We start from the raw sequence: 17,613 nt of genomic DNA, 5'->3' as shown, positions 1-17,613 counted from the left end.
AGACAGCTGGTGAGGCTGGCACCCAGAGGCATCACAGATCCTCCCTCCGCTTAGATTGGCATGGGGGCCACAGTGGGGGAGGCAGAGTGGCAGGCAGGGAGAAAGATATAGTGGGATATTGATGTAAACCTAAGCAGATTATTTTTATAAGATCCCAGTGAACAAACGTCAATTTACCCCTCCTCCAACTCTCCCCCTGTCTTAAAAAGACCAAGCAGGAACACACCTGGCTTCCTGTCCTGGCTCCATCCGTGTGCCTGTGCAACCTTGAATTTGTGCCTGGGGCTCTCTGAGCCTTAGCTGGCCTCATTTTAAGATGCTGATGATAAGGCCAACGTCACAAGGCTGGTGTGAGATCAAATCAACCCAGTGGGTGGCACACCCAGGAAGGCACCGGATACATGGCAGGCCACCGATTTGCAAGGCAGATCTAATGCTAGGCCAGAGCAAAGAAATTGGATGTTTTTAGATACTTGATCTGTGGTCTCTGTAAACAGGAGAGAGGAAATTCTTGTCAACTTCCTCAAAATGATCAGTGCAGCTTAGACACGTTTTTGTACCTTGTGACTCCACGAAAAGGACTTCAAAATTACCCAGGTATTTGTTGACCTTTCCCCTGGGACCATGTAAAGCCACTGGGTGTGAGTCCTGACTCTGTCATATTAGCCAGGTGACGTGGGCGAGTCCCTTGTCCTCCCTGTCCTATAAAATGGAGGGAACAAGTACCTAATTCTCAGGCTCATTGTGAGCTTCAGATGAGAAATAATCTATAAAATCCTACTGTGGAAAAAAAAAAAGCAACTGATAGATAGTGGGTGCTGGGGGTGGGTGTTGGGGGATGATGGCCCAGAGTGCGGGTCAAGGGCTCAGGCAGCTGAGGCTGGGTGTCCTGTCCTGATGACTGGCAGGCTCTGTGATGGTCAATGCGTGTGTAGAGCCTGATTTGCTTTCCTTAATGGGACAGCTGCTTAATTAGCCTCTGAGTGTTCCTGACAAGTGTCCCTGTGAGTGTCCCCAGCATCTGACAGGGTCAGCTCTCTCCAGACCATGTGTGTGCTCCACTGGCCAGCCTTGGGTGTGAAGCATTGACCCACTGTCCTATCCTCTGATTCTTGGCTTGTCACTCAGATGGCCTCGTGGGGCAACCACTGTGTTGGGGACTAAGGGAACAGGAGACAGCCCTGCCTTAAGAACCCCGGTCTGGGCTTTAAAGGAGGAATGTAGAGAAGGCTCAGTGGCTGTGACCCAGTGGGGCTTGGAGGCAGCCAGTGCCCCCCAGCCTGGGAAAGATTCTGCCTGGCTCTGCCACCAGTTCTCTATGTGACCTTGATCATAGGCCCTTTCTCCCTCTGGGCCTCAGTTTTCCCCTCTAAATGAGGATGTTGGAAGAAGTGGTCCCAGGAAGCTGTGGCCTACAGCAAAGCAGGGTGAGGGGAGCAGTGATCTCTGAAGCCAGCCCAGCCTGGGGTTCTTGGCCCAGCTGCTGCACTTTCTGGCCTGTGACCTTGGGTAGCCCACCCAGCCTCCCCATGTCCGCCTGACAGGGGTATGCTGGCCCTGCTGGCACAGAGCAGACACTGAACATCCTGCCCAGCAGCGTCTGGCATTGGTGGGCCCCAGGGCAGCTTTGGCCCTTCTCCTCTTTCTTTCCCTGTTTGTCCTGCAGTGCCCAGAAGTTCCCCAGGGAGTCTTGCGCCAGTGGATTAGGGGTGGCGTAAAACAAGTGTTGCTGACCTCAGTGCCGAGTCCACCATGCTGTCTGTGCTACTCCCCTGCCTGGGGACCACAGGATTGGGATAGAGCTGGCCATCCTCTGCCACTTAAGGGTTGGACAGAGAAGGGGAGGGGGGCAGGGGCAGGGTGCACACTCTAGAGCCCAGCATTCCGTCTTTGTTGGCATCTTGGAACCTTGGTCCTTAGAACCGTGGACTCTTTCAGTTCCCAAATCTTGGAAGCACTGGATCATGGAACCATAGAATCTCGGTGATATGAAATCCAGACTTGGAGGAGGCCTAAGGGGTCACAATCCAAACCTTCATCCAGCCCAGGCAGCCCCTCTGCAGGCTCCGTGAACACTCTGGCAACTGGGGAGTCATCTGTAGCCCCCTCAGGTAGGTCTCAGACTTCGGTCAGATCACAGGGCTGCCCCCACCCTACCTTGTGGTCTTGACTGGCCGCTGTGATGGTGTGCCTGGGGCTGGTTAGTGCTAATGGACAGCTGGGATGGAACCAGGCCTCTGCTCAGCTAAGAATAGAAGGCTTTGTGCGATTTAAGTAGCAGCCGGATCATATCAGGCCTCCCAGCCAGGCCCTAGGGAGCTTATTAAGAGGCTACCCTGGGTCCTCCTAGGTGGAGGGGCAGCCACTGGACTTCCCCGGGGTTGCTCTCTTGTGTTTACCTGATGATGAATTTTCCTTTTCCTATCAAGTAAGTTCATCCCTCCTCCTTCTTCCTCCCTGGGGCTGGCTGGGGAGCATCACCCAGTGTTCCTGGGGGGAGTGTCTTCTGGGAAGAGCCCAAACAAACAAAGCGTCCCTGAGAGGAACAAACAGATCGATGAAAACGTCTTTGTCTGGAAAGGAGAGAACGGATGATGGCAACCTTTTATTGAGTGCCTACTGTGTGCCAAGCCCTTGGCTCAGCATTTTGTGCTCTTGCCATATCTGACCCTCCCAAGGGGCTCTGGGAAGGGTCCTTATCCCCATGATGCAGATGAGGACACAGAGGCCCAGCTGGTACTTGGCGGAGCTGATATTGGAACCAAGGACTGCCCCGCCCCATTCCTTCTGAGGGAGAAACTAGGGGTTCCTGAGAGCCAGGGGAAAGAGGCAAGAGTCAGAATTCTTGGAGAGAAACCTAGGCATGGAGGATTTTGTCTCTCTGACTGCAGTGATTCATGCTTTACCTTATGTTAGAGTCTTTTCCACTTTTGGCAGCATGGAATAGGAGAAACGGTTCTGGACTGAGGGAGGAATTATGGCCCTATCACAAATATAGTAGGTGCAGGCACATGTTGGTTAAGTTTGAATTAAACCAAATCCACTTGGGTCTCAGATTTCCCTTCTGTGAAGTGAGTAAAGGTCGCCTGGGGCAGGATCATGAGGCTGTGGCTCCAGATTCCTGGTCTTTTGATCAGAGAGTGTCCTGGTCCCCACTCTCTGCAGGTCTCTGGTGCCTCCTGCCTCCCACTCAGAGATTATTCCCAGTGTGAGAATTGGAAGGACACCTAGGAATTGCAGGTCATTCTCTGATGGTACAGACAGGAAAACAGGGGCCCCACAAGGAAAAGGACTGGCCCAAGGTCATGCAGTGAGTGGGCCTGGGAGCACATAGTAGGAAATCCCTTCTTCCTTCCAAGCCAATGCCTGCTCTCCTCTGGGGCACTGCTTTTAGGTGGTGATCTGGAGGGCTGGGGGTGGGGCTGGGGGCCGGAGGCAGCTGGATCCTGAGAGGGAGGCAGGGGCCAAAGGTCCAAGCCTCTATCTGTGGTGCCCCAGGCCCATCTGTGCTTGCCCAAATCCTGTCCAGCTCAAATGCCCCCTCTTCTGTGAAGCCTTCCTGGACTCCCCTTCCTAATACCCTTTCTAATCTCCCTATCTACCTCAAGAGTGAGAGGTTTTTTTTGTTGTTTTTTTTTTTCTGAGATGGAGTCTCGCTCTGTCACCCAAGCTGGAGTGCAATGGCATGATCTCGGCTCACTGCAACCTCTGCCTCCCGGGTTCAAGCAGTTCTCCTGCCTCAGCTTCCTGAGTAGCTGGGATTACAGGCATGCGCACACCCGGCTAATTTTTGTATTTTTAATAGAGACTGGGTTTCACCAAGTTGGTCGGGCTGGTCTCGAACTCCTGACCTCATGATCCGCCTGCCTCGGCCTCCCAAAGTGCTGGAATTACAGGCGTGAGCCACTGTGCCTGGCCGAGTGAGAGTATTTTTAAAAATTGTATTATTTAAGTTAACAAACATAAAATGCACCATCGTAACCATGTTAAATACAGTTCCGTATGTTAACTATATTCACATTCTTGTGCAACAGATCTCCAGAGCTTTTTCATCTTGCAAAACTGAGACTCTATACCTATTACACAACTACTCCCCATTTCTCCCTCTTTCTCTGGCCCCTGGCACCCACCATTCCACTTTCTGTTTCTGAGTTTGACTATTTTAGATACCATATATAAGTGGAAGTGTACAATATTTGGCTTATTTCACTTAGCATAGTGTCCTCATGGTTCATCCATGCTGCAGCATGTGGCTGGATCCCCTTCTTTGTTCAGGCGGAGTGCTGCTCCATTGTGTGGCTAGACCACATTCTGTCTGTCCGTTCACCTGTCGATGGACCCTTGGGTTGTTCCACTTCTTGGCTCTTGTCACAAGAGTAGGGAGTTTTGAAGTTGGATGGGCCTGGGTTGGACCCTGGCTTTTAGCCTCCTTTAGCTGAATCTAAGGCCCTCCTCACCTGCCACCGTGCCCAGTGGGATTGCTGCAAGGAGTAGAAATTGTTCATGTTGAAATGCTTGGCGTACAGCAGACTTGCAGTGAGTAGTAGGTGGGATTCATTCTCGTTTTCCGCTTTCCCTCTAGGGACAGGTCCCTTTTGCCCATGGCTATAGGACCCACAGCTCACCTGCACCCATCCATGAGGGCAGCTGAGCATGTGGTGAATCTCAGAATATTGGAGCTGGAGAGCACCTGTGCACAGAGAGGGGCAGGGACTCATTCAAGTTCACCCAGCCAGTCAATGGCCATGCCAGGATTAAACTTGGCTCTCCAGCCTGGGGACCTTCCCCCTCCAGTCCCTGAGATCCGCAAGCCTTGTCCTTAGGAGGGATCAGCTCCCCAGGGGCCTATGTCTAATCCTGCAGCATTCAGGGCTGGGGGAGGCAGGGGGCTGGGAGATGAACATCTCAGGAGGCTCAAGAGATGAGCATCTGTAGTGGGTGGAGGCCAATGGCACCTGCTAGTCTCCTCTGATCGCCTGACTTTCCCCAGGGCTGTGGACAGCGGAGCTGCTTCAGCAACAAGGAGACTCACGTCAGACTCATTTGCATGGTGCAGGCTCTCTAAGGTCCTTGCCTTGCACCTGGGAGCTCACTCTGCTTTTGCTCACTTTCATTCATTCATTTGCCTATTCCTTCCTTCGCTCATTTATTCAGCAACCACTCCCTGAGGCCTGCTGTGGGCTGGGAGACCAATCAGACCTTGCAGGCAGTCAGTATGGCATAGCAGTGAATAGTGTGGATTCTGAGGCTAAACTGCCTGGGTTCAAATCCCAGTTCTGCCAGTTACTACCTCTATGACCTTGAACAAGTTGCTTAGCCTCTCTGCCTCAGATCCTTCTCTGAAGTGAGGAGAATGATAGTTCATAATTTATATTTGTTCCAGTTACTGTTGTCACGTAACAAATGACCCCAAAATTTAGTGACTTTATATAGGAACAATCATGGCTGGGCGTGGTGGCTCATGCCTGTAATCCCAGCACTTTGGGAGGCTGAGGCAGGCGGATCACCTGAGGTCAGGAGTTCGAGACCAGCCTGGCCAACATGATGAAACCCCCATCTCTATTAAAAATACAAAAATTAGCTGGGCATGGTGGTGCACACATGTAATCCCAGCTACACAGGAGTCTGAGGCAGGAGAATCACTTGAACCCGGGAGGCAGAGGTTGCAGTGAGCTGAGATGTCCCACTGCACTCCAGCCTGGGCGATAAAGCGAGACTCAGTCTCAAAAAAAGAAAAAGAACAATCATTATCTCACAGTTTCTGTAGGCCAGGAATTTAAGTTGAGCTCAGCCTTGGGCTCAGCCCAGTGGCTCTTGGTCAGGGTCTCACTTGGTTTCTGTCAGGTGGCGTCTAGAGTGGGGAGGAGCTGGGGCACCCGGAGGTTTGCCCAGCTTCTCTCACTCTTTGCGTAGTCTCAGGCCTTCTTTTCTCTCTCTGCAGGCTTGTTTGAGCCTTCCCACAGCAAGGCAGTCTCAGAGCAATCACAGTGTCTACACGGTGGTGCAGGGCTCTAGTAGGAGTGTCCTGGTGAAGGAGGCAGAAGCTGCTTCACACTCAATGACCTGTCCCTGAAAGTGCCGTAGTGTCACCTCAGCCATTACTCCCAAGCCTTCTCAGATTCAAGTGGGGGGACAGAGACGCCACTTCTCTCCATGGGACTGGTGTCAGCATCACTTTGTAAGAAGAGGGTGTAGGATGGGAGACATTGCTGCAGATGTCTTTGGAAATACCATCTGCTACAGTTGTGAGAGTTAGATGAGTAAACACAGGAAATGCCTAGAACAATGCCTAGGCATCATATATAAATGGTAGCTAGATAAAGCCAAGGGTGATTTTGACCATATGCAACTTATTCGTGATGTGCTGACCTTAGGATGTGACTGCCACTGTGGAAGCCAATCCACTGAATAGCAGCATTTCCCATTTGGGTATTGAGGGATCTATAGGAGTTCACCAAACTGAGGCAAGTGGAAAGGCATTCTACACAGAAGAAATTAACTTTGCAAAAGTGTTGAGCTGGAGAAGGGAGTCCCTGGAGCAGGGACTTAGCTCCAGGTGGCAGGGCTGCCCTGAGGTGAGGAGGGAAGGAAATGACTGGAAAGTGAGTTGTGGGCAGGTTGAAAAAAGTTTTGCGTGTAGGGTTTGTACTTAATCCTGTAGGTTCCAGGATGTCCTTCTGTTTCTCAGGCAGCAATATGAGAGGCTTGAGTACCATCATGAGGAAGCCATTTCTGAGGGCAAATCAACAGGATCTGGGGAGATACTGGACTTGGGGGTGTAGGGAGAGGTCAGGACTGATGGGGCTCACACCCAGGTGTTTGGCGCGGGTCATTTACATCAGTTTTGAATGTGATACACATACCTACCCTGGCTTGCTTTCCCTCCTCTTCCAGTAAATTAGAAACTTCATGATTGTTCTCTGCTCAGATTGGCTCTTTGGTAGGGGAGGGTGGAAGTGTAACTCCCTTGGCAGAGGGGTCTGGAGGAGCCTAGCAGGGCCGGTGGCCTCCTCCTCTGCCCCCAGCCCTGTCTGTGGAGAGCGGCTCCTGCTCTCTCACCCTCTCCTCTCCCAGCACCCCTCCCCACTCTGATCACAGCCTCAGAGTCCAAATGGAACAGGCCAGACTGTTCAGGTGGCTGTTGCCACGTCTCCCTGAGCCCCTGCTCTGGAGCCCCGAGCACCAGCCTGGAGCCCTGGCCCAGCCAAAGGCTTCACCCCTGGAGCAGGTGACTCTGAGCGAGGCCATGGCCCGAGTCCCTGTTTCCAGGATGTTTGTGTCCCTGTGGACCTGTCTTTGTATGGCTCCATGTACTTCTGGGAGCCTGTATGCTTGCGCCAGTGTGCCCACTCATGTCACCTGTGTCTGTCCGTGAATATGTGCCCTATGTCTTTTTGGATGTCTCTGTGTGTTCGCATGTGTTTGCACAAGTATGAGGTGGGCCTCTTAGGCTCTCTCAGGGCCCCCATGGTTATCTTGTCATAAATGGCAGTCAGGTTAGGGTGCTCTGAAAGGGGCTAAGTGCGAGGAGGGGCCGAGCCAGGGTATAGCCCTTGCCCCTGGGGGCCTGTGGTCTGAGGGAAGATCCAGACCTCACCAATGTGGCAAACTCAGCAGAAATACAAGTTCCCAGATTTGAGAAACCTCTTTGGGACCCCTCATGCTGCACTTGGCCTCGGTGTTGGGGACCCAGGGTCAGATCAGACCCTGCCCCTACCTTCCAGAGCCAGCCCAGGCAGTCAGCTATGCAGTTGGACACTAGCGTGGCTGCTGAATGGATGGCTGTACAGGGCACAAGAAAACAGGTGAAGGCATGCCCAGGCCTGCTGGAGAGTCAGGGAGGGCTTCCTACAGGAGGAGTTTGAGTGGTGACTACAGAGCTGTTTGGGGGATGAGAGGAAGGAGATAGAGAACAGAGCTGGGCTTGGCGTCAGATGGCACTGGCGGGTTTGAAGAAAAGGGAGATGGGGAGGGTGATTCTCATCTTCCAGGCCTGGAGGTTGGAGGGAATGGAGGTGTCTTGAAATGCGTGGAAAGGAAGAGGAGTTCCCATTTGGCCACTGTGGGTATGAGCTTCCTGTGGGATGTCCAGGTGCAGATGACCAGAGGGTTGCAGGATACTTGAGTCTTGAACTTGGTCCAGCCAGAGATGGGTGGTTGAAACCGTGGGGTGGATGATACTGCCAAGAAGGATGTGATGGGCAAGGGAGGGAAAGGGGGCTTAGGATTGAGAGCAGCAGCATTCAGGCCTGGGCAGAGAGGATCCAGCGAAGGGGCTGGTGAGGTGGGGCCAGAAAGGGGGACAAACAACCAGGCAATCAGTGGCTGAGGATGGAGAAGTGCCCCATGGATTTACCCACACAGAAGCCATTGTTGAACTTGGTGGCAGCAGAGGGTAATGGGTTTTGCAGTGGGTGGGACGAAGTGGAGATATGGGTGCAGACAACTCTCAGAAGTTTGGATGAGAAGGGAGGAGAGAAAGGGAGGAGAGCTGGGAAGGGGTGCAGGGGATGAACTGCATGAGCCCCAGGCCTGCTCACTGCTGATTGGAAGGAGCCAGAAGAGGAGAGAGGAGAGGCCAGAGGGAGGAGGGAGGGTGAAGTGGTCATCTGTAGACACCCGCCTAGTCCTCTGCCAGGGGCAGGGAGGGTGCCTGGAGGGGGTGGTGCTTTCTGGAGGAATGGCTGTGGAGGGCTGAGGGTGAAGGAGGTGCAGTGCTGGGCAGGCAGCCTTCAGTCTTGCCCTGACCTCTGCCAGTCTTCATATCTGCAGGGTATGGTGGTAGCAGCCACCCTGGGGTGTGGGGAGGATCCCAGGAGGCAGAAGCTCCACTAGCTCAGAGCATCCTCGTAAACCAGGTTCAGGTCAGGAGTTGAAGCTCAGGGCTGGGCGGGGTTGGCCTCTGGTGGTTTTTGCATCTTCAGTGCTCACCAAAGCTGTTTCGTAGACACTGCAAACAAGAAAGGCCTAGGAAGGTCAGGACGTGGATGGCCTGCTTCCAAAGAGGCCACACCCAACCCCATCTCTGGGCCCAGCTCTCAATTACAGGGAAGTTCTTCCTTTGGGTCTAGCCTAAGTCTTTCCCGCTGTGTGTTCCCTTCTGGTGAACTTGTTCAACCCTGCTCCATGGAGCCAAGCCTATCAGCTGGCCACTTGGAGTGGCGGTCAGTATTTTTACAACTTGTTTTCATGAAGATGATTTGAAGTCTCCTTGCATTCCCAGAATGTCAGACCCGCCCTGATTCACAAGGATTGACCAAAACAGGGTCTGAGCCAACCAGAGGAATTTGAAGACTTAGTCATCCCCCTTGGATCATCTGCACATTCTTCTCCTTTCCTTCCAGTTAAAAAAAAAAAAAAAAAAAAAAAGGAAAAGAAGAAGAAAGAAGGAAAGTTAGCCTAGATGACCAGATGTCCAGGAAGGGACAGTGGCATTTGGGGGTATAAACCAGCTCAGATGATGATGGCTGTGGACAAAGGGGTGGGACCTGAGGGGAGGGGTCAGTGCTTGGCTTTGCACCTGGCAGACGTCAATTCAAGTGCATGTTCTGCTGCTTGCAAGATGGGGATCTTTCACAGGAAAGATCTGAGCTTCAGTTTCCTCATCTCTGAAATGGAAGCATTGATGGCACCCACCTGAGACACCTGAAGCAGACCTAGAAGCAGACCCTGAGACAAGGATTCGTGTGACAGTGACTCATTAGGAAGCTTCCCTGCTGAGGGAAACCTGCTAAGGGAATAGGAAACGTAGAAGCAGAAAGAGAAGGAGGAGAAGCAAGAGGCTATTTCCAGCCAAGCTCCATAGAAGGAACTTTGGCTTTGTCTTCCAGAGGGACACTGTAAGTCATACCCTAGGGCTGACCCTCCAGGGGCAAAGATGCTGGAGAATTCATACCTCTCCCTCCTGAGTCAACAGACTCATGTAAGGTGCTGATTGCCCAGGACCTGGCACCAGCAAGTGACAGCTGTGAGAAAGGGGTGTGCAGAAGGGGGAATCCCAGGCTGTGTGGTCAGCAAGGGGCAGTGCCTTCTGAGAGCCCCACTGTGCTCCACTGCTTCTCTAGCCCCAGGTCTTTCTCTGTCAGCTTCTAGAGGCAAAATCCCACAGAGCTCCCGCCCCCATTGTTCTCCCAGATGACTTGGCTTTGGGCAATCTCTCCAACCAGTCCAGGTCCCTCCCAGCCCTAGAGGCCCTGGTAACCTGCTGTAGTTCTCCCTCCCAGCCCACCCACCCAGCCCGGAGGGCATCAGTGACGAGTAGGAGGTGGGACAAGGCTTAAGGGCAGAGGTTAGTTCAAGGCCATGGAGGCACCAAATGCCCATAGAGGACATCAAAGCCACTGTGGCCCATCCCCACCTGAGTTGAATTTGGCTTTTCTTCCTAGCCCACCCACTCTGTGTTTCCATAGACGGTGCTCAGGGATCACTTGGGGGAACTTGCGTTGGTCAACACATTCCAGGAACAAATAAACAGGTTGCCCTTCCTGGCTGTACTGACTAAATCCTAAGACTCTGACTATGTGACTCTCACTTTCACTGGTGATGTCAGCCTGGGTTAGCCCTCATGGGATCCACCCTTAACTCTCTCCTGTCCCCTGTGACATCACAAGAGATGTTACCCATGATCTGGCCTCCCCACTCAGGCCTCTGGGAGTCAGCCCCCCCTCCACCAGCCCCCCACAACAGACCATGACAGGCCTGGGTGCTAGTCCACACTCTGTCACCTGCTGTGTGACCTTGGCCAAGTCACCTCCTGTCTCTGAGCCTCAGTGCCCTATGTTTGTAACCCATTTTGTATGTGCTCAACTAAAATCAGGAGATTGTAACATGGTGTTAATCCCTGCTTGACGCAGTGGATGCCCAGAAAGGTGAAGTGATTTGCCGGTGATCACACAGCAAAAGAGCAGAGAGGGCCAGGACCTGCTCCCAGCCCCATGGCCGGTTAAGTGAGCATCTTACTCTTTATCAGCTCTGCCCTGGCCCACTAACCCCTCTTTGGTTCAGAACTTGAATTAAGCCCCCAGTGGTCAGGATGAACTGAGCCAGGCACCGAAGTGGTCAGTCACTGCTGCAAACTCATTAACTCATCTGATACCCATGTATTGAGTACCTATTGTATAAGGGATTCTGTGCTCAGATAAGTACAGTTTTACTTTCACCAGGTTTAACGTACAATCCACTGCAGAGGCCTGGGGCACCTGCAGGCGCCGAGAGAGGGTGCCCTTAGGGTGGTGGTCCCAGAGGAGAAAGTGGTCTAAAAATTCCAGAGCCCCCTCACTGTCCAGGAGGCAGGCAGGGAGTGGCTAGGTTGGGGAGGTGAATGTCAGGAAAACAAGTTTGTTCACTCCTGGGTATTACTGCTGCCTGTGGTGGGTCCAGCACTGTGCCAGGCTGGGGGTGAGGCCGGGAGACAACTTTGATCCACCATCAAGGCCTCCACCCCTTACGCGTCCTGCCACCTTTGTTCACATGATGCGCTTGGTGTGTTTGTCTACACCTTTAGCTCATGGGCTCCTCCAGCAGGGGCTGCGTCTGTCTGCTGGGCACACAGGAGAGCTCAGGAAATGTGCGTTGGTGACTAGATTTTTGGTGTCTAGACTGGCTTGGTAGTAAGAGTATGAATTCAAGAGACCCTAAACCCTCTCGAGCTCTGTTTACCATCTATAAAAAATATCTACTGCAGCCGGACATGGTGGCTCATGCCTGTAATCCTAGCACTTTGGGAGGCCAAGGTGGGGAGATCACTTAAGCTCAGGAGTTCAAGACCAGCCTGGGCAACATGGCAAAACCCCGTCTCTACAAAAAAAATACAAAAATTTGCCGGGTATGGTAGCACATACCTATAGTCCTAGAGACTCAGGAGGCTGAGGCGGGAGGATTGTTTGAGCCTGGGAGGCGGAGGTTGCAGTGAGCTGTGATCGCGCCACTGCACTCCAGCCTGAATAACAGAGCGAGACTCCGTCACAAAAAAAAAAAAAAAAAAAGAAAGAAAGAAAAGAAAAAAAAAGAAAAATAGTCTGCAGCGGGAGGCTAAGAGGCGTCAGATAGCGTACATAGAAACCTTGGCCTCGTACAGAGAGTATGTCCAGCCCTTGTAAATGTTGGGCAGTATTACAATAGATGGGCCCTCGGCACTGTGCCAGGCTGAGCAGGAAACATGAGGGAGATGGGGTCTGGCCCCTGTTACAGCCACTGCACACTGTACAGTTTACACAGTCCTGTCACGTCCTGCTCACTGGTTCTCCCTGTCATCCCAAGAGGGGATCTGGGCAGGTCCCAGTGTCCCCATATGACATAGGAAGATGTTGACCTGCCTTCTAGTGGCCAAGCCAGGAAGAAAAGCCAGGTCTCCTGGCTCTCAGTCTCCTGCTCACTCCTCTGCTCCCCCACCTCCCCAACTTGCTTCCTGCTCTCTAGAAGCTCTTTGTGAAACATGCCAGGAAGAGCAGTGGGCAAGGAATGTGGAGATTTGCCAGCCCAGGTGTCAGGGGCTGAGGAAAATAGCTATGGGCTACAGGTCACCATGACCACTGCCCAGCTGGATGGCGGGGGGCTTCTAGCCTGGCGCAGCAGAGGCTGCTGGGCCCTCCCAGCCTAGCCGGCTCCCTTTCCAGGGGGATAGTGTAACAAGAACTGGGGTTGGAAGACCCGGGGCACCCTGGCTCCCCTGCAAGATGCTGTTGGAGCTGAAGGGACTTTAAGGAGTACAGGGTCTGTGGAAGAGGCCAGTCAAGTTGTGATCACTGCCCCTGAGGAAATTTGAGTGCTTACTGCCCTGGAAATACAGCCCCATGCACAAGGCATAAGCATAAGGACCTTCCATGTGGAAAGCACTTGTAAAAGGCAAACTGGGGAAGGCAGGGCTGGCTGACAGACAAGCAGTTGCTCACAGATGTGAAGTCACCAGCACAGGGGGTCTAGGCCCCACAACATGAGAGGTGGTGGGTGGGGAGTGGACAGGCCTCTCCTAAATTTGGAGCACTGAGAGCAAAAATACAAATAGAGATCCATGTATCTTTGTCAGATATTCGAAGATTGTAAAGCAAGCCAGGAGACTGTTAAATAAAATAGATTTGATTTTCCCTCCTTCCCTCCTTGACAAATATACCTTCACAATGTACATTGAAATACGTACATTGTGTACATATTTACATTGTGTAAAGTTTAGTTTTATTTGACTGCGAGTGATAAAATATCAAGAATGTCTGAATTTATTGCACATCTCCGAGTATATTGTTAAGCTGATGATGTTCAGATATAAATAATAAGACTTAACAATTCTTTTTTTTCTTTTTTTGAGACAGAGTCTGACTCTGTCACCCAGGCTGGAGTGCAGTGTGGCACGATCTCAGCTCACTGCAACCTCTGCTTCTCAGGTTCAAGTGATTCTCCTTCCTCAGCCTCCTGAGTAGCTAGGATTATATTGAATATATATTCAAATTATATATATATATAAAATTAAATTCAGACTTATATATAGTGTGTGTGTGTGTGTGTGACAGAGTGACAGCTCTGTCACTCAGGCTGAAGTGCAGTGGGCGTAATCTTGGCTCACTGCAACCTCTACCTTCCGGGTTCAAGCGACTCTCCTGGCTCAGCCTCCCAAGTAGCTGAGACTACAGGCACGTGCCATCACACCCGGCTAATTTTTTGTATTTTTAGTAGAGACGGGGTTTCATCATGTTAGCCAGAATGGTCTCGAGCTCCTGACCTTGTGATCTGCCCGCCTCGGTCTCCCAAAGTGCTGAGATTACAGACGTGAGCCACCATGTCCAGCCTATATATATATATTTTGTTGTTGTTGTTGTTGTTGAGATGGAGTCTCACTCTGTTGCCCAGGCTGGAGTGCAGTGGCATGATGGTAGTGCACTGCAACCTCTGCCTGCCTGATTCAAGCGATTCTCCTGCCTCAGCCTCCTGAATAGCTGGGATTACAGGCGCATGCCACCACGCCCAGCTATTTTTTTTATGTTTAGTAGAGACGGGATTTCACCATGTTGGCCAGGCTGGTCTCGAACTCCCAACCTCAGGTGATCTGCCTGCCTAGGCCCTCAAAGTGCTGGGATTACAAGCGTGAGCCACCGCATCTGGCCATCAAATTTTATGTACTTTAAATACAATCACATTTTACTTTTAGTCTTTTAGATTATTGCCATCAACAGAACACAAGTGATGAAAATCTTGATTATAACAATATAATTAGTGATCTTGCTAAAGTAAAGATTTTATGGAATAACTAAAAATGAACTGTGGCCACATGCAGTGGCTTACACCTGTAATCTCAGCACTGAGGCTGAGGCAGGCAGATCACTTGAGGTCAGGAGTTCGAGACCAGCCTGGCCAACATGGTGAAAGCCCATCTCTTCTAAAAATAGAAAAATAGTTGGGCATGGTGGCACATGCCTGTAATCCCAGCCACTTGGGAGGCTGAGGCAGGAAAATAACTTGAACCTGGGAGGCGGAGGTTGCAGTGAATCAAGATCTTACCACTGCACTCCAGCCTTCCAGCCTGGGTGACAGAGCGAGACTCTGTCTCAAAAAAAAAAAAAAAAAAAAGTAAACGAATGTAAATATAAACATAGGAAAATTTATTGTATGTTTTCAAGAGTGTTTTTATTCCATAAAATCATCTATTAAAATTAAAGCTATACCCATCACAATTAATGAAGATCAGATTTTTAAATAAAATCTTTAAATAGACATGAAATATTAATTAAATTTTTGAAAATTTTATAGAAATGAAACTATTCACAGTTCTAGTATTCAATGTCCATCTAGTTGCAAATTTAAAGAATTAATACCAGACTTCATGTTACATTAATGTGAGTAATGTGAGTTGCAGAATGTTGTAAGATGTTCCTCAGCCACCATGTGCATTTTTGTGAATATCACACTAATTCATGAGTACTTTTAGAACCACAAATTGGAGCAGGAAGAAATGCCAAAATAAAGGATGCACAGCAAGACCGGAATAGAGATGCTTGCTTATGCAAGAAACTGGTGCTCGCTGCTGTCTGGGAGGAAGGCTTTGACAAGCTAACTTGTCTCCCTCTTATATATTTTTGCCACTTAGGCCCCCCCCTGCTGCACTCCTCCCCCAAGCAGCATCCATCTCCCTCCTCAGCAGCAACACGACCCATAGACCTTCACAGCATCTTAACAGAATCACCTTTTGTTCTTCAAGTTTGAGAAATGGAGAGGCCTGGCGTGGTAGCATGCCTGTAGTCCCAGCTACTCGGGAGGCTGAGGTGGGAGGGTTGCTTGAGTCCGGGAGTTCAAACCTGTAGTCTGCCATGATTTGCCTGAGAATAGCCACTGCACTCCAGCCTGGGCAGCATAGTGAGACCCAGTCCACAACGCATGCCTTAAAAAAATAAAAAAATAAAAAACAGAGAAGAGTTTAACTAGGGCCTTAGAGGTGTTAGGAGCGAATGTTTAGGATTACAGGTCACATGAGTATAATGTGACAGAGGCTCCTGTGTACTCTTAATGAATTTATTTGTGTGTGTGTGTGTGTGTGTGTGTGTGTGTGTGAGATGTGTGGGGGCCCCTTTTCCCTGTCTAAGGGTGTTCGGGGGGTGGGTCTTCTTGCCAATAAAGAGTTCTCTATCATACAATGAACAATAGACAAATGATAGATCTTACACTGTAGCTAGAGTTTTATATCTAGGTATCTTAATTTACTCGTTCGTTTCACTCATGTGCATTTGTTCATTCATTTAAAACCCTATATTTGCAAGGTGCAGTGGCTCATAACTGTAATCCCAGCACTTTGGGAGGCCAAGGCGGGTGGATCATCTGAGGTCAGAAATTCAAGACCAGCCTGGCCAACATGGTGAAACCTCGTCTCTACTAAAAATACAAAAATTAGCTGGGTGGGGTGTGTGTCTGTAATCGCAGCTACTCGGGAGGCTGAGGCAAGAGAATCACTTGAACCCAAGAGGTGGAGGTTGCAGCAAGCCAAGATTACACCACTGCATTATAACCTGGGCAACAAGAGCGAAACTCCGTCTCAAAAATAAAATAAAACCCTATATTCACTTGCTCCAACCCTTCATTTCATGTGGACTACCAGGTTATAGCAGTCTTTTAGTGCAGTCCATGATCCTATGAATGAGGATCAGAGAGGGTACTGATGTACCTAAGGCATACAGCCAGTCCACAGCAGAAAAGTCCTCAGGCCAGGCAGCAAAAAGTGGAGGGTGAGTCCCAAGTTTGAATGTCAGGTAAAATCTGAGTAGATGTTGCTGTGTCCCAATCAGCTTCCCTTCCTTCACCAGCTTCCACTACTAAGCCATCTGCTCCAGGGCACTGGGGGATCCTGCAGGGGTTTTCTGCTTGAAGAGCCACTTCCTGTTTGGGGCCGAGCACTTCCTTCAGGTGACTCACAGGCTCCCATTGGCCCCGTGCTGGGAAGGCAAGGTGGGGGTGGAGCCAGACCCGGGCGTGTCACCCTCTACCTGAGACCCCAGCTGGGTGACCTGACACAGGGCAGTGGGCACAGGCTGGAGGTAGGAGGAGGGGAATGGCAGGAGGATGTGAGACCATTCTGCCTCACCCAGCCTATTGGGCAGGATGGAGAGAGGGCAGAGTGGGGATGGGGGCGGCCTCCGCGTCCAGACAACCCCACAGGTAGTTTCCAGGGCAGCCATGGGCCCAGGTAAGGCTGACAGCAGAGCTGACAGCCCTGGGGAGACTCTGCGGTACTTTCCTTCCTGACAGGCAGTAAGGTGTGGTGGAAGGAGCACTGGGATGGAGTCATGGACTTGTATTTCTCACACCAACTTTCTGGTGGTCATTTCAGTTTTCTGCCCCTCTCTGGACCTCAATATCCATGTCTGTCTAATGGGGGGAGGGGCTTGATGGCTGTGACATTTTGTGCCACTTGTAGGTTTGAGCTTGAATTCTGGCTCTGCCGCCTTGCTGAGTGTGTTCACTTCTCAGAACCTCCATTTCAAAATCTGAAATAATAGTCACTTTAAGTGTTTTACATATGGTAACTAATTTAATCCCCACATTGACCCTATGGGGTAGGTTTTATTAGTAGTAGTATTTTATACCTAAGGAGATTGAGGCACAGAAAGGTTAAGTAATTTGCCCAAGGTCACACAGTAAGAGCCAAGATTCTAACTTGTGTAGTTCGACTCCAGGTCCCATGCTCTTGACTCATTCTGGCCTTGCTACTCAAATTGTGGTCCAGGGACCTGCAGCATCAGCATCACCTGGGAGCTTATCAGAAATGCAGAATCTCAGGCCCCAGCCTAGACTTAACTGAGTCAGACCACATTTTAACAAGTTCCCTAGGTTTCCAAGGTCCAAGGCCCCAGGAAATATAAAGAGACCATGGCTTCTCAAACATTAAAGTTTAGAGGAGAAGCCACTGGTCTATTTATATTTCCTCTGCCACTTAGGCCTTAGGATCATTGTAGGGGGCAGAGGAAATAAGTATGTTTAATAAACTGTAAAGTGCTGTACATTCAGGGCACTGTGAGGAACCTGGAGGTGCAGAAGGGCAGGCCTGGGAGTGTCTCAAGTGCTGATCTCTCTGTGGCTGTCATTTCCGAGCTGTCTCTGAGTCCAGCTCTGTCCACCTCTGGTTCACACACAGAGGTG

At 50.8% G+C, this 17,613-nt stretch overlaps 1 protein-coding gene across 15 annotated transcripts in view; it reads left to right on the top strand.

Moving 5' to 3' along the window:
- Positions 1 to 17,613, top strand: part of GDPD5 (glycerophosphodiester phosphodiesterase domain containing 5) — a 91,302-nt gene that overhangs the window by 17,178 nt on the left and 56,511 nt on the right. For 3 of the 15 annotated variants that reach the window (XM_047427649.1, XM_047427646.1, XM_011545277.3), the window contains one exon: positions 1,939 to 2,111. The gene's annotated coding sequence lies outside the window, so the exon portion shown is untranslated. 15 annotated transcript variants of the gene reach the window in all.

This window comes from Homo sapiens, chromosome 11 (genome assembly GCF_000001405.40).
Source record: "Homo sapiens chromosome 11, GRCh38.p14 Primary Assembly".
In the NCBI taxonomy this organism is placed as follows: Eukaryota; Metazoa; Chordata; class Mammalia; order Primates; family Hominidae; genus Homo; species Homo sapiens.
The sequence above is the reverse complement of the archived record's forward strand: the minus strand, read 5'-3'. Positions and strand labels throughout refer to the sequence as shown.